This window comes from Homo sapiens, chromosome 6 (assembly GCF_000001405.40).
Source record: "Homo sapiens chromosome 6, GRCh38.p14 Primary Assembly".
NCBI classification, from domain to species: Eukaryota; Metazoa; Chordata; class Mammalia; order Primates; family Hominidae; genus Homo; species Homo sapiens.
Genome location: NC_000006.12, coordinates 105010747 through 105038262, shown reverse-complemented (window position 1 = coordinate 105038262; position 27516 = coordinate 105010747). Strand labels below are relative to the sequence as shown.

The following is a 27516-nucleotide window of genomic DNA, read 5'->3' as shown; positions in this document are numbered from 1 at the left end:
TAATGACTATTTCTCTAAAACACTGACTCTTCCATTGCCCTGCAACTCCCACATAACGTATAAGGTCTAAATCCCTAATTTCTATAGATACTTTGAGTGGTTTTATCTGTCTGACTGAAACCTTTGCCTGGTAGAAGTTTAAATTTTAGAGCAATTTTATTAATCTTATCCCTTATGGTTTGTACTGTTTGTACCTTCTTTTAAAAAGATCTTTCCCAAACCTAAGATCACAGGAATATTATCCTGTATTTCCTTCTAATATTGTTGTAAAGCTTTGCCTTATGTCTTTAAAAATGGTATAAGGTAGGGGTCCAATCTTACTCTTTCTCTACAGATAGACAATTTTCCCAGGACCATATATATACAAAATAAATTTAATATAAATAAGGTAATCCTATTATTCCAAAAAAAAGAAACATCTCTTTATGAGAACAGTTCAAGTTGTAACTCTTGGCCGGGCGCAGTAGCTCACGTCTGTAATCCCAGCACTTTGGGAGGCCGAGGCAGGCGGATCACTTGAGGTCAGGAGTTTGAGACCAGCCTGGGCAACGTGGCAAAACCCAGTCTCTAAAAAAAAATACAAAAATTAGGGTGTGGTGGTGCACATGTGTAGTCCCAGCTGCTTGGGAGGCTGAGGTGAAAGGATCACCTGAACTTGAGAGGTGGAGGTTGCAGTAAGCCAAGACTGCACCACTGCACTGCAGCCTGGGTGACAGAGTGAGACCCTGTCTCAAAAAAAAAAGAGAGGGGAAGGGAGCGGGGAGGAGGGGGAGGAGGGGGAGGAGAGGGGAGGAGAAGTGAGGGGAGGAGAGAAAAGTTGTAGCTCTTAATCTGTTATTTTAACCAAATTTCAAAAATTAAAATGCCAATGTGAATTTGGAAGAATCTTTATATAAGCTCTTCAAATTTATTAGAACAGAATTTGACTTGCATATCCTTATTATGTAGAATTTAAAAAGTCTAGCTGGAGACTGCTGAAAACTTTGTGATTCCCCTAGATTGTTACTGGGGTTTGGGATGCAGAACTAGTATTTCAGTGGAAGGATTCAGCAGTGCAAGTAACAAATTCAGTGGAAGGATTCAGCAGTGCAAGTAACAAAATTTTCTGTTGATCAGTCTTCATCTTGATCAGCTCTTACTCTGTTCACACAGGAACAGATTGGATGTCATAGTTAGCAGATATAAATCATGATAATTTATGTTTAAGACATTTAAGCATAATTTTTAAAATTTAAGTGACGTTAAAATTTACAAGTGATACTCTGAACAATGTCATAATGTTCATTTAAACATCTACATACTTAATATTAGAGGCTAAATTAATTTCCTTTTTAGAAAGGATATCAAATTTCTAAAATACTACCAAATTATCACAATACCCTTGTACCGAAATCATACAATAAATATATGATCTAATTTCACCAAGGCCACAGTCTAAAGCAAGAAAGCTAAGTTACTTCTTAAATCCATAATTTCTACTTGAACTATTATTAGAGTTGCTTCTGGAACTTTTTTTCTGTAGGCATTATTTTATTATTTATTATAATCAGCAATCAGAAAATCAACCTAAAATTCTGATTATTTGCCACTTGGCTTCTGACCATTCCAATGGCATCTTGGGAGACCTATGCAGCGCCAAATGAAGCTCAGCTCCACACAATGTCTGGCAGAGGGTGATGAGAATGGCACATTGTCTGCCCAGTCTGAACAGAGGTCACAGCAGGGAGAGCATCTGCTAAGATAATGTGAATGAAGGAAACAACTATAATTGCCTCATTAAGAGATCCCTGGCCAAATAATCACAAGAAGAAAGGACTTGGATAACCATCCTAAAATTAGGCTATAATAAAGAAACTTGGGATAGAATTAAAAATACAGAAGAATTAAGAAGACTTGGGTATTCTACTGGTTTTACTAATTTCCTTAGTCACCATATGGATGACTGAAAATTTGGATGCAATAGTTTAGTTATTCAACTCGAGCCTCTGCCAGTCATTAGTAGGAAGTACAAGATGCAAATTCACAGCTGTCCAGGATACAAACAAATGTAAAATAAAGAGTTGTGGGGAATTTCTTACAGGGACCAAAATATAGAAACTAAGAAGGGATATCAACTGATCTATAGTTCGGAGTTACAATGAAAAAAAGCATACAAGTAAAAGATATAAGGAACATTTTAAAGGGGAAAGACAAAATTTAAAAGAGCAGTCTCAAAAAGGCAAAGGAGAAAAATGAACAAATTGTCTCTCCCTAATCAATTTACCTTCTTTTACTTTCTACCTCCATCTTTTAAAACTATTTTTTTCCCAAAAGTCAACATTGTATAATTACAACTAAATCCTCAGTCACTTCATATTACCATATGTATATATTTTATGCAACAGTGTTGATAAATTAAATATTTCATAGTAAAAGCTGAAGTAAATATTTTCCCAATTTAAATTTAAATTAAGTATACAAATGCATACAAGACTAAAATGTATTGATATTGTGACAAACTATTTTTACATTTCCTGATATTTTGAGGGTAAGCTATGTGAACTTAATTTGTATTATGCAGCTAAAATTTATTATTATATAAATAGTACCTTGAAGTAAACCATAGTGATTAAACTTTTCTGATTCCAACAAACACAATAAAATTAGCTTGTTATAACCATAAGCCAGGTTTAAAATAAGCAAACTATTTGATGACTTTGATGTTTTGCAACCAAAATGTGCTGGCTAATTTTTCCATTCCATTTACCATTCTGGTCTTTAAACTGCCTTAATCTCCTGCCCTCAGATGTTGACCTTGTAAGAATAGGGGTTATAGGTCAGAATAGACAGACCTCAAAGGATCTAGACTATCAATTCATGCCTGAAAGATTTCTCTGCCACAATAGGAACCTACTAAACAGCAAATTCCTAAATCTAATCACACAAGTATCAGGGTGAAACAGTTATTTATTGGTATTTGTTGATCTACATTTCAAACATCTCTATCATCTAAAAAGCATTTTTATTTTTATTTTGGGAACAGAATCTGGGATATAATACACATAAAAAATAAAATCCTTGACAGAATTTTAAAAGTAAAACAGATATTCTTTAATAAAATGACACCATAAACCTAAACATGGGTTTTTTTCTGTTTTCAGGAATGCTATGGAGATTTCAAAAATATAATACTAGATTTCCCAAGCATAAAGTACCTGGAAAAATGTCAAATTATACCACTGAGATAATGAGTGGAAGAGGTTAATATTGCTGTAGAGGTGGGTGGGAGTGGGGCAGAATTACCACTAGTTAGTTTTCAGCTTACTTGCTCTAAAACTGAATGAGGGCAATAAATAAATATTTTTCTGTTTAATAAAGAAATGTGAATTTACAGCACCTCAATAAGGAAGCCCACACTGATTCTCGTAATCCCAAAAACAAAAACCTAATGGCTTATAAAATTTTCTTGCAAATTTAAAGAATTTGAGGCCACAAAATTATGGCTCTACAAAAATAACTTTACTATCACACATCTCCACTTTCTTTTTTAAAAAGGCAAGTTAATTCATGTGAGCTAAGAATAAATCAGACATAATTGGTTTCTGTTTCTGTTCATCTTGGTCTTTCTGATCATAAATGATAAATACACCATGATGTACCATTTTAGTACTGACTACAAGGAATGTTAAATTTCACAATCAATTTTTAAATCTAAATAAGTAGCATCTTAAAAATGATAAGTTAACAAATTCTTCTACTATGATCAAACTAAAGAAATTCCCCAAGCTTCCAAGCCAAAAGTAGTAACATCAAACATCTTTTTTTTAACAGTCTATTAGCCTTCTTTCTAAACAAAATATATTACCACTTTAACTCATGTAGAAAATCAAAAAGCTTACTCATACTAACGTAGTTATAAAAACTAAATATTGAACAAAATGAAATAAAAGCAGCAGAATGTATTATTTTCTAAGTTATTTTTAAAAATTCAAGTCAACACTGCATTATTATGAATGACACTTCTTGGAATATGTGGTTGGGTCAAAATATGTGGAAGGTTAAGAAAAACAAAAAAGACAGTCACTACTCTAAAAAAATCGGAATTTAAAAAGGAGGTAAAAAAAGAAACCATGAACAGTTAAAAATTACAAAGCTATATGTATACAACCAACATATACACTACATATCCATGCACTTTGTGTTCTTTAAAATTATGCACATTTTTATTCACCAAGTATTAAGGAGTAAAAACATTTAAACTATATATAAAAAAGATTTCCAGACCATTTTAGTCTAAATCCTTTTTACATATTTAACATATCTGTTAATATAAACTAAAATTATATTATATATTTAATTATGTACTACAGGCTGACATGATTATTTCATATAAATAATAGAAATCAACTGTGGCAAAGAAAATAATTCTACCACCCTCACCCATAATTTCATTATGTTGGAAGTCACTCACTCTTTTTCTTCATAGTAAATCATGTTTTTAAAGAGAACAAAAAGTCCCAAGTATAGGCTAGTTTTATAGAAGAAATATAACATTTCTTAATTTTTTATTAACAATCTTCACTTTTTTATAAAGACAGCTGTATAGACTCGTTAAATTTCTTTACTCTTTTTGTAATGAACTTAAGAAAAACTAAATAGAAAAAAATCAGAAATTATTTCGTTTGAAATGTTAAGAAAACTTTTCAAATGTGGAGGATTTAAAATAAAACAACACAATATTTACTACCTTGAGTAACCAGAAAGTTGTAAGTGGACGCTAAATTAAGCAGAATTTTAAGAGAGAATAAAATAATCCCATTTTCTTTTATAAACAGTCTACTAATAATTAAAGTGGAATCTTCAAAATTATTTTACATTTTTTTTGCCACAGGGAGTAACTCTTCACAAAATATGATTCTACCTTATATACAAACATTAGAATTGAACAAATAAGTTCTCAAGTGATGAAATCATATTTGGAATTTGTTAAACATATTAATACCATGTAATCAAAACTTTGAAATTTCAATTTTTAACCAAAAATGACAGAAACTAAACTTTCTAATCTAAAAACATTTCAAGAAAAAGGATATTCTTTTCAATAAACGATGTTTGAACAATTCATATTACACATGGCAGAAATGAACCTCTACCTAGGCCTTACACTTTATATAAAAACTAACTCTAAATGGATCATTGATGTAAACAGAAAATGTAAAGATTGATAAATCATCTTCATTCAAATTAAAAACTTTTGTTCTAGAAAAGATATTTAAGAGATTGAAACGACAAGCCACAGTCAGGGAGAAAATATCTACAAATCATGTATCTGGCAAAAAAAACTTACACAAAGAGTTCTTAAAGTGCAATAAGAAAACACACAACCCAGTAAAAAATGGGCAAAAGATATGAAGAAACAGTTTGTCAAAGAGTATATGAGGGTGACACAAAAATACATATAAAGTTGCTTAATATCAGTAGCTATTAAGGAAATGAAAATTAAAACCATGATGAGATATCACCACACGCCTAACAGAATGGTTAAAAAAAATTTTTTTTTTTTTGAGGCAGGGTCTTGCTGTCACCCTGGCTAGGGTGCAGTAGACTGATCACGACCCACTGCATCTTTGACCTCTCAGGCTCAAGTGATCCTCCCATCTCAGTACAAGTAGCTGGGACAACAGGGATGCACCACCATGCCCAGCTAATTTTTTTACTTTTTGCAATGACAGGGTTTCTCCATGTTGCCCAGGCTAGGTTCAAACTTCTGGGCTCAAGCAATTCACTGGCCTCGGCCTCCCAAAGTGTTGGTGTTAAAGGTGTGAGCCACCACACGGGGCCAAAATTTTTAAAAATTGGCAATACCAAATGCTGGCAAAGATAGGTGGCAGTTCGAACTCTCACATACCAGTGGTGGGAATGCAAAAGAAAAATAATTACTCTGGAAAACAATTTGGCAGTTTTTTATAAAGTTAAACATACATATATGACCTTATTATGCAGCAATCCCACTCCAAAACTGAAAATGAATCTTCACACACTTGTGCATAAATGTTTATGGCTGTTCTATTCATAATTGTCACAACTGGACACCACTCAAATGCCCTTCAATAGATTAATAAGTAAACAGTGTTATAGCTATAAAATGGAATACTATTCAGCAAAAAAGTGAACTACTGATACACTCAACAGCTTGGATGAATTTCAAAGATTATTATGCTGAGTGAAAAAATGCAATTTCAAAATGTTACACACTGTATGATTCCACTTACATGTCATTCACAAAAACACAAAACTACAGTGAAAGAGAATAGGTCAGAGGCTGCCAGGGGTTATAGGTGGGGAAGGGGTAACCATTATAGATAGAGGGAGATTTTTGGGGGTAATAAACTTTCTGAATCTGGATGATGGTACTGACTACAGGAATGTATATGTGTGTTAAAATTCATCTAACTGAATACCAAAAGAAAAAAATTCAATTTTCACTTTGGGAGGCCAAGGCGGGCGGATCACGAGGTCAGGAGATTGAGACCATCCTGGCTAACACGGTGAAACTCCGTCTCTACTAAAAAAATATAAAAAATTAGCGACGTGTGGTGGTGGGTGCCTGTGGTCCCGGCTACTCGGGAGGCTGAGGCAGGAGAATGGTGTGAACCTGGGAGGCAGAGCTTGCAGTGAGCCAAGACTGCGCCACTGCACTCCAGCCTGGGCGATGGAGCCAGACTCCATTTCAAAAAAAAAAAGAAAAAAAAGAAAAAAGGTCAATTTTACTATATGACAATTTAATATTATGTATATATTTATATACAGAAATATACCAATGCTTACTTCCAAATTTAATATAAATTAACTGGAATTCTAGCTTTCTGGTACATCAGCAGACCAAATCAATTATTTAATATCATTATTTTAAACATTTTGTAGGCCATAAGGTCAGTATGAAAGTATCTTATACCAGTAAGAAAGTACTCAAAAAATGATGAGGACCCATCAAAAGGACACAGAAACCAGCCTGAAGGGGCTCCTACTGGTCAAATCTGGGAAATTTGACCAGTAAAATAAATAACGGTGGTTACAGATTATAACTTTCAGAAAAATGCAGAAATCCATGGTTCAGACTAATATAATAAATGAAAATTTAAAAGTTTGATGGTGAATGGGATATTTACATAGTCAAAATATCTCCCCACAAAATGCTTATTAAAAAAGGAAAAAGAAGCCACTTTAAATAGGTAAGGTGGGCATACATGTTTGGCGGCCATACTTAATTTTTCCTACCTTTTTGTATTCTAAAAATTTTCATAATAAAAGTCAAAATAAAATAAAATAGAAGGAAATAAAAATAATCACAGGAAGTATTAGGGGAAAAACAGTATAACAGAAATTAATCCAAGAGGCAGGGTGCAGTAGCTCACGCCTGTAATCTTTGGGAGGCTGAGGCAGGCGAATCACCTGAGGTCCAGGATTCGAGACCAGCCTGGCCAACATGGTGAAAACCCATCTCTATTAAAAATACAAAATTAGCCAGGCACAGTGGTGCACACCTGTAGTCCCGGCTACTCGGGAGGCTGAGGCAGGAGAATTGCTTGAACCCAGGAGGCAGTGGTTGCAATGAGCCTAGATCAGGCCATTGCACTCCAGACTGGGCGACAAGAGCAAACTCTGTCTCCAAAAAAAAAAAAAAAAAAAAAGAAAGAAAGAAAGAAATTAATTCAAGAGCCTGTTCTTTGAAATACAATACATTATCTTATCAAGAAAAAATAGCAATAGGAAATAACTAGAGAATCAAATATTTTATAAGATTTTCAAGGCTGCTTCACATAATTGTACTAATAAACATAAAATCTGGATCAAAGCACAATTTTATTCTCATTACTAAAACTGTCTCAGGAAATAACCATGAAAGAAATCAAGAAAGTTATCAAAGATCTTTGAAGTTTTTTAAACATTTGGGGAGCAAATCATGCCTTGGTAACTGTTCCAGCCATCAGCTGACAAAGATCCATTTCTTGCTACCACACTGTCAAATCTTGTTTTCTCATGGTGTCAGTTTCTATGCAGGAGTCTCTATGTTTATTGAATATTTTATTGTATGTTGTCTCTACACCATTTTGTAAAAACAAGCAGCACATGGAAAACTGGAATTGCTAATCCTAGTGACAAAAATTATGGACACCCTTAGCTTAATAGAAAGTTGGAAATTATTAGATATTAAGTGTGTCAAAGCTTTAATTACAATAAGACACACAGTAAGAGTAAGGAGTTGGAACAGTTATTCACTTCTGACCACCACCACCTCGTACCTTGCCAGATCAGTACCCCAACTATAATTCTTTGACTCCACTGCAACCCACACCCCATGTGTTTACTTACCACCTTTTCAATGTCTTCACTCTTTATACAGTTTATATTCTATCATCCATCATTACATTTGCTGCCCTGCATACATCTCCAGTGCCCTTTGTCATTCTCAACTAGGAAAAACCTCAACTCTAGTTAAATCATTTTAATGACTGTTTTACAGCTGTAGCCATGAAGTCAACAATGGCTGGAGAAAAAACACAATCACATTAACTGACTTTAAATTCGTACCCACTATTCTTATGTGGGTCTTTGGCACAGCCTGAAATTCTACCTCTTTTCTATAATGTGTTCATTCTTCTATTTTATACGTCTTTCTTGTTAAATTTCCAAACCTACTCTTCTACCATCACTCTCAGTTGATGACCGTGCTTCAAATTCAAAGAAAAAAAAAACCAGCATAAAAAAGAGAAATCTCGCCTTATCCTACCTTCATATCTATCTACCACCTGCATCTGTGCCCATAAGCTACGCCTTTCCTCCAGGTTTGTAAGAATGAACCTTCTGTACTCACATGATCAGCTCCCCCAGTTGTGCTTTAAATCCCAATACTGTCACCCACTCAAGGAAATCACTCCAGTAATCGTTCTCCTCTCTCCTGCATGTTCAATCTTTCCTTTGCACTAGACCATTCCTATGAACATATAAACATGCTATAATTTCTTCCATTTAGCCACTGCTTTGTTTCTTTCCTCCCATTTATTATAGAAACACTTCTCAAAAGATTGTCTAAACTTGCTGTCTCTGCTTCCTCTGTTTTCATTCTCTGTATTGAACACAACCCACGAAGGCTTTCACCCCCACCAGTCCACTCAGCCCGTTCTTGTCAACCTCAGACCTCAATAATGACTTCCGTGTTGCTAAGCGGTCAAGTTTCAATGGTTATCTTACTTGATCATTTCACCATCAGCACCATTTAACATACCTGATACCCTTTCTTGAAATATTTTCTTTCCCTGACTTTCCCTCCTATTTCCCACCTTCTTACTTAGTGCCCTTTGCTGTTCCTCCCTCTTCTTGACTCTTAAATGCTAGAGTGCCCCAGGGCTTAGTCCTCTTCTTACCTATGTATACTCACTGTGATGGTGATCTTATCTCCTCTTGTGGCTGTAAATATCATCTTTTTGCTAAATGTTGCCAATTTTTTAACTCCAGTGCTGGAACTCCATATAGTGCATCCATCTGCCTAATATACATCTTCACTTGGATGTGCATTATGTATCTCTAATTAAATGTCTGAAACTATACTTTTGATTTCAGGCTCCTTCTGTAGGTTTCCCCATCTTGATAAATAGTCCCTTCATCTTTCCTGTTGTATAGGCCAAAAAACCTTGGAGTCACCCTGGACTCTTTTCCTCTGATAGTCCAAATCTAATCAATCCATCAGTAAATTCTATGGTCTCTTCCTTCAAAACATATCAGAATTTTTGTTCACCACTTCTACTGCTACTACCCTTGTCCAAACCACCACTAGCTCTTTTCTGTATTATTGGAACTTCTTCTTTAGTGGTCTTTCAGCTTCTATCCTTGCCTCTCCACATTGTGCTGTCATTGCAGCTGCCAGAATGATACTCTGAGTAAATCAGATCATGTTACTTTTCAACCTAAAATTTCCCAATGACTTCCTATTTTCTCCAGAATCAAAGTCCTTAAAATGGTTGACAAGATCCAATATGAAAAAATGTCCTGCCATCTTACTCTTCAAATCTCAACCTCCACTATTCTCCCTCACATACTGATTCCAACCCAGAATTGGAATGTAAAGCATTCTAGAACTACTTTGTTAAAGATTTTATCTAAAAGACATGGAAAAATAAAGGGCTGTTTTATTTTACTTTGCTTTACTTGTACGTATTTAAGTATGTATGCAGGTATTATCTCCATGGGAGCAGAAAACCACTTTAATAGCTAAGTGTATCATTAAACTTTCACACACATTCATGGACTTTCTTTTGTACAAAATGAGCTCCTAAAAATGTCAATGAAAATGGAATTTATTGTTTCACTGGATAGCTTTTCAAACCAATAGGAAAATATGAAATAGGCAACAAGTGCTACAGAGATAACTGGTTACCAATTTGGAGAGAAAAGAAAACCTAGACCTTTACAGTTCTTTCTTCAAAAGCAAATTAGATTATAAAGAGAAGAGATACTTAAGTGTAAAATATAAATTAACTAAAATAATACTAAAAACATAAATGAATATAGCATATTTTTAATTTTGTAGTTTGGAAAATGAAATAAAGTCAGGTAACATCAAGGAGAGTCACAGACTTGTCTGTAAAAAATTCAAAACTTCAAAATACTTTTTAAAAACTATCATTAAAGATAAAATATATTTTATAAGCTAAAAAAATTTCTTATTTTTTATTTGAGAAGAAAGATTCATATCCTAAATATATCAAGAGAACTTAGAAATCAATAATAACAAACAAACATCTCAATAGAAAATGGTCAATGGACAAGAAATGTACAATTCTTAGAAGAAAAAAATGAAAACATATAAAATATATTCAACCTCCAAAGTAATCAAATAATGTGAAAAAAACCACAAACAAACAATGAGCTACATCTCTAACCTATGTAACTGGAAAAGATTTTAAAAAGACAACATTCAATGAGCTGTCTCACTTTCAGAGGTGTTACATACTGGCCCGCTAATCATTTCTGGAGAGTAGTTTAGAACTAGGTATTGAAATTTTTAAAATACATATTTTTTTGATCCAGATTTTCACTATTAAGTATTTACCCTAAAGATATAATCAGACAACTTTTCAAAAATGTACATCTAAGAGTTCCCACAGTGGTGTTATTGATCAATTCAAAATACATGAGGTAGCCTAAATATCCACTAACATATTATTCTTTAAATTATATTTTGGTACATTCAAATAGTAAAATTTATGAAGTGATAACAATTGACATGAAATATTCTATAATATACTATTAGGTGAAAAAAATTACAAGTTTCAAAATACCATATATATTATAATTCCCACCTCTAGGATTTCAAGTGATTTTTTCCTCTTTACGGTTTTTATATTATTTGGACTTTCTATACGTGAGCTGTCTTTCAAAAACAGACAAAACAATAGGTACATTTTCATTTGAAAAAAGAGGTGAGGTGTTTGGCAAATTCTGGGTGTAAAAAGGGGCACCTCTATCTATTGGGAACTTCAACTCCTCAACTGGGGTCTCAGAACAGTCTGGTGGAAAAGGTGGTCAAGGAACTATTCAGTGCTTAATGCTGAAGGCTCAGTTCAGTACATTCTGCAGATAATTCAAACTGCAAGATAGCCTATATTTCTGATATTTAATATATTCTACATGATGGTGGTTTCCTTTGGCTAGACAATATGAAATGCAGTAAGATGAAAACATTTTCAGAAATCCTTTCCAAACACAATAAACTGATAAATTAACAAAGTAAAAATGATTACCTATCTCCCTTTGGTTTTCTTTTCTGTAGTGTCTTCCCTTTGGGTCTTCTTTCACTTCCTAAACAGGGGCTCCCACCAGGTCCTGTTACCCGTATTGACTCAAGGCCTTTGGAAGATTTTTTAAATGTGAATTCCACTGGTTCTCCTTCTTTTAGGCTTCTAAATCCTTCCATGAATAGTTTGCTCTGTAAAGAGCAGAAGAGGGTGGGGGAGAAAAAGAGAGATTAAAATTATCATTGCTTTATAAATTATCTCTATAATTTTAAAAAAGAAAGATACTCTGTCATGCATTACAAAAGTATAAAGTCTTAAGTTCAGTGAAACATATACCATTTTAAAGTTTCTTTTTGCAATACTGGCAGTGGGAGAAAAAAATTTTTAAGGCAATTTGGCAATACTTAGAAAAATTAAAATGTGCATATTCTTTGTCCCAGCAATTCCACAATTAATAATTCTACTACAGACATACACAAAGGCTCAAAAAGATACCACAGCACTGATTGGTAAAAAATAATTACATCTATCTGAACATCTATCAATGGGAAACTGATTAAATAAATTATTAATATAATAGCACCATATAACATTATTAAGCCATTAAGAGAAGTTTTATTAGTTCTACATGTTCTAATGTAGAAAGATAAGCATGTCATATTGTTGAGTTAAAAAAAAAAAGAGTTAAAGAACTGTGTCTACCATAATGCTATCTATGTAAAATTTTAATTTTGTTTATTTATTTTTGATATGGGACTCACTATGTTGCCCAAGCTGGTCTTGAACTTCTGGGATTTTCTAGCCTCAGCCTTCTGAGTAGCTGAGATAACAGGCACATGCAGAGTCCAGCTAAAGTTTTTAAAAGATATATGTTTATTATATAGAGATGTGGTCTGAAACAACAGACACTAAAGAGTCGTTTTCTCCAGTCCCGTTCTAGAAAGGTAGCAAAGTTTTCTGGTATATACATTACTGCGTCGTTTGAGCTTTTTATAATTTGAAAGGAAATCAGATTTCATATTTGAAAGATAGCTGATTTTTTGTAAAAATAACAATGTTCACCAATTACAAAATTGTTGATTTTGGTTTCAAATATTATTTGGCTCTTTCAATCCTCTTTTCATCAAAGTCAATGTGCCAGTTCAAAATATACTAAAAATAATTCAATCAGTAGTTTTATTTATTTTTTCAAACCCCTCTGTGTACATTTTACAGATCTAATTTAGAATATCATGTAGTTTTTAAAGACTCTCCTGAATTGGTGGGGCAACAGAAATAAAACATGATGGTAGAAGTCCTTAGTTCAAGTCCAGTTCTTTAAATAAACTGCTATATTGCTTTGAATAAGCCATTTGCTGTCGTTTCTGTTCATTTGTAAATTCAAAAGATTTGAGTTCTGAGTAACAACAAGACCACGAGAAAAAGGTTTTGTGGTCAAGTAAGTTTGTAAAACACTGTATGTTGTTTCTCTGTGAGAGACTCATATTAGCATATTAAAGTCTCAGGAATGTTCTCACCTCCCCAACTCCCACAAAACTAAAAATCTTTTTTAACTCAGCAGTTTCCTGACCTAATTGATCCCAGAGCCCCTTCTTTAAGTACAGATGACGAACATACTTAGAGAAATATTGGACCAGAAAATCTTCAATTCTCCAAGTCCATGACTCTAAAGGCAGCTAAATAATTACATGTAGCCAAATTATTACATAGAATAAATAAAAACAAAACTTCAAAAATTCATTGCAAAAGGAGACCATTCATTGTGAAAGCAAGACAGCCCATGAAAACAGGGTTATTAACCTGCTTCTAGTGCAGGTCACCTGGCATAGTGAAATCTTTCATGTGGAAGTCTGCAATTTGGCAGCACCTTTTCTGCTCTCTGATGAAATGTTGGGGGAAAAAATCACAACTGCCTACATTCTTTAAAATAATAAAGTATTATTATTAAAGCTATTTTAACATTTCTAAAGCATCTTCTCATTTTTTCCTAAGCTTTCTCTTCACTAATTATAAATAGTTATTTTGCTTTCATTTCCTTTCTCCCTCTCCACTCAAGAAGGTACAGATTATTTCTCTTTTACAGATGAAATGGAGCATAGTTCAGCTACTGAAATTATGAGAACAAAGAAACAGCATTTTTTATTAGAGCTATCATATGTTCATATGTTTTGTTTTGGCAACAAAAACTCTATCACTGGGCTAAGCGCGGTAGCTCACACCTGTAATCCCAGCACTTTGGGAGGCCAAGGCGGGCAGATCACCTGAGGTCAGGAGTTCAAGACCAGCCTGGCCAACGTGGCAAAACCCCGTCTCTACTAAAAAAATACAAAAAATTAGCCAGGTGTGGTGGCGCTCGCCTGTAATCCCAGCTACTTGGGAGGCTGAGGCAGAAGAATCAGTTGAACCTGGGAGGCGGAGGTTGCAGTGAGCGGAGATCGAGATCGTGTCACTGCACTCCAGCCTGGGCAATGGAGTGGAAACCCTGTCTCAAAAAAAAACAACCAAACAAACAAACAAAACTCTATCACTTAACTCCTCATAGCTCTTAAGTGCACTTTTGTAGGAGTTGGTGCATAGTTCCTAGTGAACTCAATTAAGCTGGTATACTTTCACTTAATTTAATTTTCCATTATTATGATTTTTGATAGGTATCTTATAAGTGAACTGCTTTTCCAAATCTAAAGTAAAATTCCAGCTCTTACAAACTAATAAATTCTAGCTGTTGTTCATGATATTCTGAAAGAATACTTTAAAAAGTTCTATCATATATGTCCCCCTCCCCAAATTAGTCCATAAGGCAATTTAGTTTCATAATACTTGGCAAAAAAATATATATATATTATATATTTTATATATATAAAATATATAATATATATTATATATTTTATATATATAATATATATAATATATATTATATATATTATATATATATATAGGTTATATATTATATATATTATATAATATAATTATATATATTATATAATATAATTATATATATTATATATAATATAATTATATATATTATATATAATATAATTATATATATTATATATAATATAATTATATATATTATATATAATATAATTATATATATTATATATAATATAATTATATATATTATATATAATATAATTATATATATTATATATAATATAATTATATATATTATATATAATATAATTATATATAAATATATATATTATTTATATATATAATAATAAATAATAATTATATATAAATAATATATAATATAATATATATTATATATATATATATATCCATAAGAAACTATAATGGCTTTGCAAGAAAAAGACAAGAATTCACACAGAATACTCTGTCTTTGCTATTAGACCAAAATAGCTGCTACATAGGTGGAAAAGATTGTTGAAAGGTAAGGAATTAGCTCCCTGTATTTGTTCCCCCAAAAATCAACTTATCCCCTTAACTTGCCAATTTTTATTGAAGGTTTCTCCATTTTTCCAATTACACTGGTTCCAATGCTTACTTTTACCCAAACCATTTATGGAATCTTGTTTATTTTTGCTTACTATCTCTCCTCTCTCATCTGCCCCATCCACTTCATTGGATTGCTATCACCCTACTTCAGGTCTTAACTATTGCTGGGATTCAGAAAACAATACAACAAAAAAGAAAACTTTAGAAGCAGTTTTTCTCTGACCTTCTCCAGTCTTCCTGTTTCTCAGTCTCATTTCCCCGCAAGGCTAGCCATAGAAACTGGAATCCCTCTTCTCCAAGGTAGGTTACAGAACCAGAACCCCTTTTCCCCAAAGCCAGCCATAAAACCTAAAAACATTACTCTAATTCCATCCCCACCCAGACCTTTCTGTGCAAAAACTGACCTACCTTGTTTGACTCTGAGTCAGTAAGACCTCCAATCAGAGAAGATCCTGCCCATACCCAAAAGGCAGGAATGCATGCTCAGAGAGGCCAAGAAAAATCTAGACAGACAGACCTTGCTGGGTTTCCCTACTCAGTCTGTTAGCATTAGATCATACATAATCTTTTTGTCCAATTATATTTCTTTACAGCTGTCTATACTTTGTTAAACATATGCCTAAAAATGTACAATTTCCCCTGAATTTTTGAATCATCATTCTGGAGGCTCCTGTGTCACGGTAAAACTATGATCAAATAAACTTGTAAGCCTTTTCTCCTATTAATCTGCCTCTTGTCAGTAATTTTTAGTGAATCTTCAGAAGGCAAAGGGAAAGTTTACACTATCTTCTACCAAGATAAGTGTAATAGTTTCTTCACTGGCATCTCAGCATCACAACTGCTCATTACTCTACATCATCTTCCATACCTGCACATTCTCTCTCAATAAATCTTAGCCTGTTAAGTCCCTTGTCTCAAAAATCTTTTTTTGAGACCCTTGTCTCAAAAATCTACAATTCTGCTCTTAGGTTGTAGGTGAGATCCTTCATAATCTTACCTTACTTACATTTTCCACTTCATTTCCCATTACTCTAAAACACAATCCCTCCATTAGTAAAACTGGATAACTTATATTTCTCTGAATATTTTCTCATTTCTGTATTCTATCTTATTCCAGTCGGGGATGTACTCTCCTAGTCATGGCTTTCTATTAAAATCTTACTTGGTAAGACCTCAACAGCAAGGCAAAAATAGACAAAAAAGACTTAAACTAAAAAGCCTCCTTCTTCACAGCAAAAGAAATAATCAACAGAGTGAACAGACACCCTGCGGAATGGGAGAAAATATTTGCAAATTAGTTATCTGACAGGTAGATTAATATCCAGAATATACAAGGAACTCAAACAACAAAAATAGTGAGCAAAGAACATGAATAGACATTTTGCAAATAAGACATACAAATGGCCAACAGGTGTATGAAAAATGTTCAACGTTACATCACTAATCATCAGAAAACCACAATGAAATATCATCTTACCACAGTCAGAATGGCTATTATTAAAAAGATGTTAGCAAGGATGTGGGAAAAAGAGAACTCTTATACACTGTTGGTAGGAATGCAAATTAGTACAACCTTTATAGAAAACAGCATGAAGATTTACCAAAGAACTAAAAATGGAATTACTATTCGATTTAGCAATCCCACTACTGGGTATTGACCCAAAGGAAAAGAAATCAATATATCAAAGATAACCACACTTGTATGTTTTGCACAGCCCTATTCACAATAGCAGACATGGAATCAAACTATTTATCAATGGATGAGTGGATAAAGAAAATGTGGTGTATATATATACACAATGGATATTATTCCACCGTGAAAAAGAACAAAATCATGTCTTCTGCAGCAACATTAACGGACTGCAGGTCATTATCTTAAGTGAAAAAAGCCAGGCACAGAAAGTCAAATATCACATGTTCTCACTAATAAGTGGATGCTAAAAAATTTGTACGCATGGATGTAAAGAGTGCAATGATAGGCCAGGCGCGGTGGCTCACGCTTGTAATCCCAGCACTTTGGGAGGCCGAGGTGGGTGGATTACGAGGTCAGGAAATCAAGACCATCCTGGCTAACACGGTGAAACCCCATTTCTACTAAAAATACAAAAAAAAATTAGCCGGGCGTGGTGGTGGGCGTCTGTAGTCCCAGCTACTCGGGAAGCTGAGGCAAGAGAATGGCGTGAACCCAGGAGGAGTAGCTTGCAGTGAGCCGAGATCCTGCCACTGCACTCCAGCCTGGGCAACAGAGCGAGACTTCGTCTCAAAAAAAAAAAAAAAAAAAAAAAGAGTGGAATGATAGACAATAGAGACTCAGAAGGGTGAGGGGTTGGGAGGGAGGTGGATGATGAGAATTCAATTTTTAAAATTCATTCTGGCACATATTTATTTAAGAATTATAAAAATATTGGCTTTCAGCCTGGGTGCAGTGGTTCATGCCTGTAATCCCAGCACTTTGGGAGGCCGAGGGAGGTAGACTGCTTGAGCTCAGGAGTTCTAGGCCAGCCTGTGCAACATGGCGAAACCCCATCTCTACAAAAAAATACAAAAAATTAGCTGGGCATGGTGGCACACACTTGACGTCCCAGCTACTAGGGAGGCTGCAGTGAGCTGAGGTCTCAATACTGCACTTCATGCTGTTTTCTATAACAGCCTGGGTGACAGAGACCCTGACTCAGGAAAAAAAAAAAATCCTTGCTGTATTTGCTTTCCTCTTCCCAACAAACCATTTAAAAAGGATTTTTAAATAATATGAACAGGGGCCAGGTGCAGTGGCTGATGCCTGTAATCCCAACATTTTGGAAGGCTAAGGTGGAAGAATTGCTTGAACCGTGGTCAAGGTTGCACCTACCCACGATTACGCCACTGCACTCCAACCTGGGCAACAGAGCAAGACCCATTCTCAAAAAAAAAAAAAAAAAAAAAAAAGAATAACAGGAATAAGGAGTCAACTGAAAATAGTATGAATGCTATCGTTTATTTGCCAATTATTTTTACCCAGGGCTCCAGATAGTAATGGCTTACTCATCTCTCTTGACACAGGCTTTTTCTCTCCAACTAGATTGGGAAGTGGCTACAGTTTAATAACTGATTCTCCTTAGAAATCAGAGTATTTTTTTCTCTAGGAGGCATAAACTGACTTCCAGTTCAAGATGGCAGGCTGAACAGACCAAGTGAGGTGCTTCACGTTACTCTTTAAAAGCCATCAAAATGACAAACTAGTAAAAAGAAAGATTCACAATAAAGAAGAGAATGAGAGATGCATCAGCAGAAAACCAAATTCAATAAATTTCTAGAAGTTTGAGTGCTGACTGATAACTGAGTTGAAGGAGTCACACCCAAGAAAATTAACAGAAGGAGCTGCAGCAGAAGTAGGAACCAAGATTCCTAATAGAACCCTGAGAAACTCTGCTTACACACATGTATGATGAAGGGTAAGAACGAGCAATGGGCTTGAAAACAGGGAGGTTAATGAAAGGTTTGTGTAAGGACCAGATTCCCATTTCATTCTCACATACCATTCCTACCTACACATGTGAAAACAGGCAAACATGGCCTTAAGGCAAATAATATGAGGCCCTTCTCTAAAGAGACTGAAGGAAATATCCAGGCAAGCGGTAAAATATTGGATCCTGTGCATACACCCCTATTCATTCTGACAATGAGAAGACCACTGGTGTAAAAACTGGCTCTCTACCCACTGGACCTTAAATCATTCCTATCCCTCATTCATGTATCTGAAGGGTCAACCAAGAATCATAAAACATACAGCATAATTAAGAAAGACCAGATGGGCGCGGTGGCTCACGCCTGTAATCCCAGCATTTTGGGAGGCTGAGGCGGCTGGATTGCCTAAGATCAGGAGTTCAAGACCAGCCTGGCCAACATAGTGAAACCCCATCTCTACTAAAAATACAAAAAAATTAGCTGGGTGTGGTGGCGGGCGCTTATAATCCCAGCTACTAGGGAAGCTGAGGCAGGAGAATCACTTGAACCCGGGAGGCGGAGGTTGCAGTGGGCTGAGGTTGTGCCACTGCACTCCAGACTGGGCAACAAGAGTGAAACTCCAACTCAAAAAAAAAAGAAAAGAAAAGAAAAGAAAGACCAAGATAAATGAGAGAACAAAAGAAATTTTATACACCATCTATTTAGTATATCCAGAGCTATTTGAGACAATATAACATCAATAAAAGATTTTAAACAACCAGAGAATTTAAAAAGCACTCTCAGAAAATTTTGAAATGACTAAGTGGCTTAGAAGTGAAAGATTAGAAAATGGAAGGGGAGGGGATGATATGGGAGGTGAGGAAGGAAGAAAGGAAGGAAGCAAATACATGAGTCAAACACAAAAACAAATGAGAAATACAGAGGATGAATTCAAAAAGACAAATATTTAACTTTAACTTGATTTCCAGGGAAAGGGAATACATAAAATAGAGAAACAGAAAAATTATGAAATGAATAATACAAAGGAGGGGTCTATACCATACAGAAGCATTATAGAAGCTTTACACGTGAGGTGTATTTTTGAGTGCATGGAGAGAGAGTGAGATTCTAATGGAGATTGAAGACAGCAGTCGAAACTGAGCTAATGGTACCATATACTTGTGTGGCAGGAATAGTTAATACAATGTTTGAGGATGGCAAGGAGAGTAGTTTAAGTGTATCATTGTGAAGTGAGAGACCAAAAATGAGGTTGTAAAATGCAAGCTAGAGTCATATCACGGAATTTTATTTTATTTTTTTTTAAGAGTAAGGGTCTCACTCTTTGCCCAGGCTGTAGTGCAGTAGCATAATCACAGCTCACTGTAGTCTTGACCTCCTGGACTCAAGCAATCCTCCTGCCTCAGCCTCTCAAGTAGCTAGGACCACAAGTGCACCCTACCATGCTTGGCTACTTTTAAAATTTTTTTGTAGAGACGGAGTCTCACTATGTTGCCAAGACCAGTCTCACTAGGCTGGTCTTGAACTCTGGCTTCAAGCAATCCTCCTGCCTCAGCCTCCCAAAGTGTTGGGATTACAGGCATGAGGTAGCATACTCAGCCAATGGAAACTTTTGATTGACATCTTAAGCACTTTATTATGTCTAACACAAATATTTCTTTCTAAAATTATTTCTCTATTTTCAAATTTCAACTTCTTTATTTGAGATTTAGGGGGTACCTGTGCAGGTCTGTCACATGGGTATACTGCATGACGCTGAGGTTTAGGGTATGATTGATCCCACCACCCAGGTAATGAGCATATTACCCAATAGTTAGTTTTTCAACCCTTGCCCCTCTCCCTCCCCTCCTTCTCTAGTAGTCCCCGGTGTCTATTGTTGCCATATTTATGTCCATAAGAACCCATGTTTAGCTCCTACTTATAAGTGACAACATGCAATATTTGGTTTTCTGCTCCCTCATTAATTTGCTTAGAATAATGGGCTCCAGCTGCAAAAACTGAAAAAACACTCAGAGCCCCAGTTTCCTTGTCTGTAAACTAGGGATAATATATTTCAGGAATACAAAATATCTCATAAGGTTATTGTTGGATCCCAAATAAATGTACAATGCCTAGAACAATGCTCAGTACATTGACTAGTAGTTCAATAAACACTTTAAACTATTTTTATAAGTATCCAGTCTGCTTCCCTATCTGCTGACACAGAGATGGAAGAGGTGGGAGAAGACAAACATGTATGGAGAATCTATTCAGTAACAGGTACTGTGCTGAATGCTTTCACCTGCTATCTCATATACTCAACCCACCCTTACCCCTCACCCACACTTGGCAAATATCTATACATTACTGAGTTTCAGTTTAAACATTACCTCATCTTCAAAGCCTTTATGATATTCTTAAGCAAATACAGGTACTCCTTTTCCAGTGCTCCAATTATGTATGGTATATATCACCATTATAACACATGATACTACATTATAATGTGTCTGTTATCTTTCTTTTTTTTTTTTTTTTTTTTTGAGACAGAGTCTTGCTTTGTCACTCAGGCTGGAGTGCAGCAGCACAATCTTGGCTCACTCCAACCTCTACCACTCAGGCTCAAGGGCTCCTCTCACTTCAGGCTCCCAAGTTGCTGGGACCACAGGTGTGTACCACCACACCCAGCTGTTTTTTTTTTGTTTTTTTGTTTTGATTTTCATTACAGATGGGGTCTTGCCAAGTTGCTCAGGCTGGTCTTGAACTACTGAGCTCAAGCAATCCACCCAACTCAGCCTCGCGAAGGGCTGGGATTACAGGCATGAGCCACCGCGCTCTGCCAATGTGTCTGTTTTCTTATAAAGCTACTAACTTCTTGAAAGGAAAGATCATAATTTTTCATTTACATGCCTAAAACCATCCCTGAAACATAGCAGGTGTTCAGCATATATTTGAAGCAGAGAGGGAGAATCAGGATGGTGGGGAACAAGGGAAAGAGGGAGGGAGGCAGAAAAAAGTAGCTGTGACTTTTTCTCACTTAGATGAGGACATCAAGAGTCCCAAGGTCCTATCTGATGACAGGCAGAACCAGGACTCAAAGCCAGATCATTTGACATAAAAAGCCCTTGTCTATCATAATGCTTAATATAACATTCTCTGGAATATTTCAAATGTCCCTCAACAACATAATCACAATATTAAAGTTTAGAATCTTGAAACTACATGCCACAGGTAGGCCACCCTACTCAACCCATGCTCACCTTTTATCCTTTAATTTTCTGAACTTTTAAAAATTTACTATAAAACTTCTTAGCTGACACAATGAATCATAAGAAATGGGTGCTTTTATGATAGAGTATTTTGTTTTTATCCTTTAATTTTCTGAACTTTTAAAAATTTACTACAAAACTTCTTAGCTGACACAATGAATCACAAGAAATGGGTGCTTTTATGATAGAGTATTTTGTTTTACTGCTCCTCTTTGAAAATAAGAGGTACTTAATAGATGATGGCTGAAGAAATTTTTAAAATCCCTATCAAATCTATACTTCTATGGTATTAATGTTGCACTGTTGAAATAATACTATATTTCAAGTAGATCTTACTTATAAAAATATCTCTGATTTTACATGGAGTGGCAGAATAGTACATCTATGTACACTATCTAATTTAAGGATGTATACTATAAGCCTAGAACACTTTTTCATTATACTCCCCATAGTAAGCTTTGTTTCCTATTTTCCTCTCCATGTGAAATTTTAATAACACAAATATACTGAATATTTACTTATGTACTGTAGCTCTTTGGAAGACTACAAACCACTACAGTATCTGGCATGGTATTGCCTCTACAAGAACTAATTTTCATTTCTTGGTTGTGATATCATGCTCTAAGAATGCATGTCCTCAACCACTTAAAAATGCAAAAATGTGTAACTGAAAAGCCAGTGGATAAACTAAAATGGAATTTTAAAAATATCATATTAACACAGACAGCAGCAGAAAGACATAAAACAGTTACCAAAGAAATGAGATAAACAGAAGAATATCAAAACGATAGATCTAAATCCAACCATATGAACAGTTACATTAGGTGTTAAATTAGGATTTAACACTCCAACGAAAATGCAGAGATTTATCAAATTGATAAAAAAGCAAGACCCGACTCTTTGCCGTCTACATCTACAAAAGAGCCACTTTAACTATAAAGATATATAAAAATAAAAAATCAGAGCACAGAAAAAGACAATCATGTAAACAATAATAAGGCTACAGCTGTGTTATATTACTAAAAGTAGACTTTAAGATAAAGAGTATTATCAAAAATAAAGAAGGACATTTCATAATGGAATTTTTAAAAACTCATTAAGAAGGCATAACAATCATAAATGTGTATGTGCCCAGTAACAGAGCTTTGAGATGCACAAATCAAGAACTGACAGAATTATAAAGAGAATTAGACAAATTCCAAGCATAGCTGGAGACTTTTTTTATAAGCCACCCTCTACAGTTAACAGAACAACTGGGGGAAAAATTCATTTAAGACACACTAACTTTTAAAAAACACCATCAAGCAATTTAACCTATTTGAGATTCATTTGTTCTCTGATCAAAAGAGAAGTAAAATAGAAACCATAATGATAAATAAAAAGATAAATAATTATAAATATTTGTAATTACACAGTATACTTTTAATTGACCTGATAATGCAAAAAAAAAATCACGGGAAATTTAAAAATTTTTAAACCAAATGATAATAAAAAACAACATATCAAAATTTGTGGGATGCAGCTAAAACCATTTATGAAGGAAAATTTAGATTTAAGTACTTTATTTATTTATTTATTTATCTATTTTTAAAAAGGCCAGGTACAGTGGCTTATATCTGTAATCCAACACTCTGGGAAGCCCAGGCAGGAAGACTGCTTGAGGCCAGGTGTTCATGACCCCCTGGGAAACACAGTAAAACCCTGTCGCTATAAAAAGAAATTTAAGGCCAGGTGCAGTGGCTCACGCCTGTAATTCCAGCATTCAGGAAGCTGAGGTGGGCAGATCACCTGAGGTCAGGAGTTCAAGACAAGCCTGGCCAACATGGTGAAACCCCATCTCTACTAAAAATATAACAAAAATTAGCCAGGCGTGGTGGTGGGTGCCTGTAATCCCAGCTACGCAGGAGGCTGAGGCAGAAGAATTGCTTGAACCCGGGAAACGGAGGTTACAGTGAGCCAAGATTGCGCCACTGCACTCCAGCCTGGGCAATAAGAGTGAAACTCCGTCTCAAAAAATAAAATATTTTTTAAATTGGCTAGGCATAGTGGCACATGCCTGTATTCCCAGATACCTGGGAGGCTGAAGTGGGAGGATCACTTGAGCCTAAGAGGTTGAAGCTGTAGTGAGCTGTGATTGTGCCACTGTATTGCAGCCTGGGCCACAGAGTGAGATTCTGTCTTAAAAAAATAATAAAACAGAGAGGTTTCAAAGAACATCATAGGGTTTCAAACTAAGAAGCTACAGAAAGTGCAAAGGAAACTCAAAGTTGGTAGAAGAAAATAATAGGAACATAAATCAATAAAATAGGGTAAAAAACAATAGAGAAAAGTAAAGACAGATAAAAGTCAGTGCTTTCAACAAAATTGATAAACCCTTAGGTAGAAACACAAGAGAAAAATAAAGAACACAAATTATCAAAATCAGGAATCAAAGAGGGCCCGTCACCACCAATCCCACAGACATTAAAAGGAGAGCAAAGAAATATTACAAATAAATGATTGCAATAAAATTGACAATGTAGATCATCTCTAGGAACAAAAGGTCGCTTAAAAAATAGATCAGATTAAGTTGTATAATTTTTTTTATTAAGGCTAACAAAATGTAAATTTTTTTTTTTTTTTTGAGACAGGGTCTCACTGCTATGGCCCAGGCTGAAGTGCAGTGGTGTGACCACAGCTCACTGCAGCCTCAACTTCCTGGTAATCCTCCCACCTCAATCTCTCGAGTAGCTGGGACAACAGGCACATGCCACCACACCGGGCTTATTTTTTGTAGAGACAGGGTTTTGCCATGTTGTCCAGGTTGGTCTCGAACTCCTGGGCTCAAGCAATCCTCCTGCCTCAACCTCCCAAAGTGCTGGGATTATAGGTATGAGCCACTGCACTTGGCCAGAACGTAACTTGATTTTTAAAAGTAAGCAAATGACTTGAACTGATATGCCTACTTAAAAAAAAAGATACATAAATAGAAAATAAGCACATGAGTAATCAACATCATTAGGCTTCAAAAAAAAATGGGAATTAAAACCACAATGCAGCCGGGTGCAGTGGCTCACACCTGTAATCCCAGCAGTTTGGGAGGCAGAGGCAGGCGGATCACCTGAGTTCAGGAGTTCACAACCAGCCTGACCAACATGGAGAAACTCTGTCTCTACTAAAAATACAAAATTAGCCGGGCTTGGTGGTGCACGCCTGTAATCCCAGCTACTCGGGAGGCTGAGGCAGGAGAATCGAACCTGGGAGGTGGAGGTTGCAGTGAGCTGAGATTGCGCCATTGCACCCCAGCCTGGGTAACAAGAGCAAAACTCCGTCTCAAAACACAAACAAACAAAAAAACCACAATGCAATACACAGCCACTAGAATGGCTTAAAAGTTGGTGAGGATGTGTAACTACTAAAATTCTTATATACTGCTGGTAGGAATATAAAATGGTAGATCTACTTTGGAAAAAGTTTGGCAATCTCCTATAGAATTAAACATATACCTGCCCTATGACCCCAGGTTCCATGGCTAGGCTTTTATGCAAGAGAAATTAAAACACATGTTCACACAAAGACTTGTGTGCAAATGTATATTAGGGGTTTATCCATAATAGCCCAAAACTGAAAACAGTGTAGATATCCTTCAATGATAGAACAGATAAACAACTTTTGCTATGTACAATACTACTGAGCAATGAAAAGGAATGAATCACTGGGATACACATCATAATAGTTGTCAAAAACTGAGAAGGGTTTTTGGTTTTACCTGAAGTACAAGCTAGCAAATAAATTAGCTTGCCAAAATTTCACAGAAGGTGGTAGAATGCATGATACTACAGGGTCAGAAACAAACGATAGGGTTTTTGTTTGTTTGTTTGTTTTTGTTTTTTTTTTTGGAGATGGAGTCTTGCTCTGTCACCCAAGCTGGAGTGCAATGGTGTGATCTCAGCTCACTGCAACCTCCACCTCCCGGGTTCAAGCGATTCTCCTGCCTCAACCTCCTGAGTAGCTGGGATTACAGGCACCCGCCACCATGCCCAGCTAATTTTCGTATTTTTTAGTAGAGACAGGGTTTCACCATTTTGGTCAGGCTGGTCTCGAACTCCTGACCTCAGGTGATCCACCTGCCTCAGCCTCCCAAAGTGCTGGGATTACAGGTGTGAGCCACCGCACCCAGCCCAAGGTCGGTTTATTTTATTTTTTGTTTGAGACGGAGTCTTGCTCTGTCACCCAGGCTGAAGTGCAGTGGCGCAATCTCGGCTCACTGCAACCTCTGCCTCCTGGGTTGAAGCAATTCTCCTGCCTCAGCCTCCCGAGTAGCTGGGATTACAGGTGCCTGCCACCACACCCAGCTAATTTTTGTATTTTTAGTAGAGATGGGGTTTCACCATGTTGGCCAGGCCAGTCTCGAACTCCTGACCTTGTGATCTGCCTGCCTCGGCCTCCTAAAGTGCTGGGATTACAGGCATGAGACACCACACCTGGCCGGCAGTTTATTTGTTTATTTTTATTTTTTTGGAGAGACGGAGTCTCACTCTTTCACCCAGGTTGGAGTGCAATGGCACGATCTCAGCTAACTGCAACCTCCACGTCCCGGGTTTAAGTGATTCTCCTGCCTCAGCCTGCAGCTGGGATCACAGGCGCATGCCACCATGCCCGGCTAATTTTTGTATTTTTAGTAGAGACGGAGTTTCTCCATATTGGCCAGGCTGGTTTTGAACTCCTGACCTCAGGTGATCTGCCTGCCTCGGCCTCCCAAAGGACAGTTTATTTTTTAACAAGAGCAGTTGCTTCAATTCCCACAGGGTGATGTAAAGAAGGTCAGATGAGACCTATACACCCAGAGGGTTGCATTAACAAGAGAGGAACACTGCGGGGCAGGCACAGTGGCTCACGCCTATACTCCTAGCACTTTGGGAAGCTGAGGTAGGCAGATCACTTGGGCCCAGGAGTTAAACACCAACCTGGCAACATGGTGAAATCCCGTCCCTACAAAAAATACAAAAATTAGCCAGGCATTGTGACATGTGTCTGTAGTCCCAACTACTCTAGAGGCTGAAGTGTGAGGATCACCAGAGCCCAGGGAGACAGAGGCTGCAGTGAGCCATGATCATGCCACTGCACTCCAGCTTGGGCAATAGAGTCAGACTCTATCTAAAAAAATAAAAAGGAGGAACACTGATGTTAGTTAGGGAAACTGAATTTTTTGTAATGGGCAGTAAGCATACTGGCCCTTTCCTATGTTCCAAGGCTATTAGCATATTATAAACATTTTGAAAAGATACTCTGGAACAAAGGAGAGTCGGCTTCACTCACAAGAGATGCAGCAATCTGAGTGAGAGATGCAAGGAAAGTTATCTCCCAACAATAGCAAGTAAAAACAGCTTTATAAAAAATGAGTATACTGTAATTCCATTTATTTGAAGTTCTAGAACAGACAAAATTAACTTATAGTAGGAAAAAAATGAAAATAATTGTTGTCTGTGGGTGGATATATGGACTGACTAAAGAGGGACATGAAGGATCTTTCTGGAATGAGATAATGTTCCATGTCTTGAGATGGGTTTGAGTTACAAAAGGGTAGACATGTGTCATAGTTATTGAATGGTGCACTTACA

General features: G+C 36.0%; 1 protein-coding gene across 3 annotated transcripts in view; it reads right to left on the bottom strand.

Annotated features, from left to right (window-relative positions):
* Window positions 1-27516, bottom strand: part of LIN28B (lin-28 RNA binding posttranscriptional regulator B) — a 146307-nt gene that overhangs the window by 45070 nt on the left and 73721 nt on the right. For all 3 annotated transcript variants that reach the window (XM_006715477.3, NM_001410939.1, NM_001004317.4), the window contains one exon: window positions 11781-11965. In XM_006715477.3, the coding sequence (XP_006715540.2) occupies window positions 11781-11965 (185 nt within the window). The remainder of the gene's footprint in view (window positions 1-11780; window positions 11966-27516) is intronic.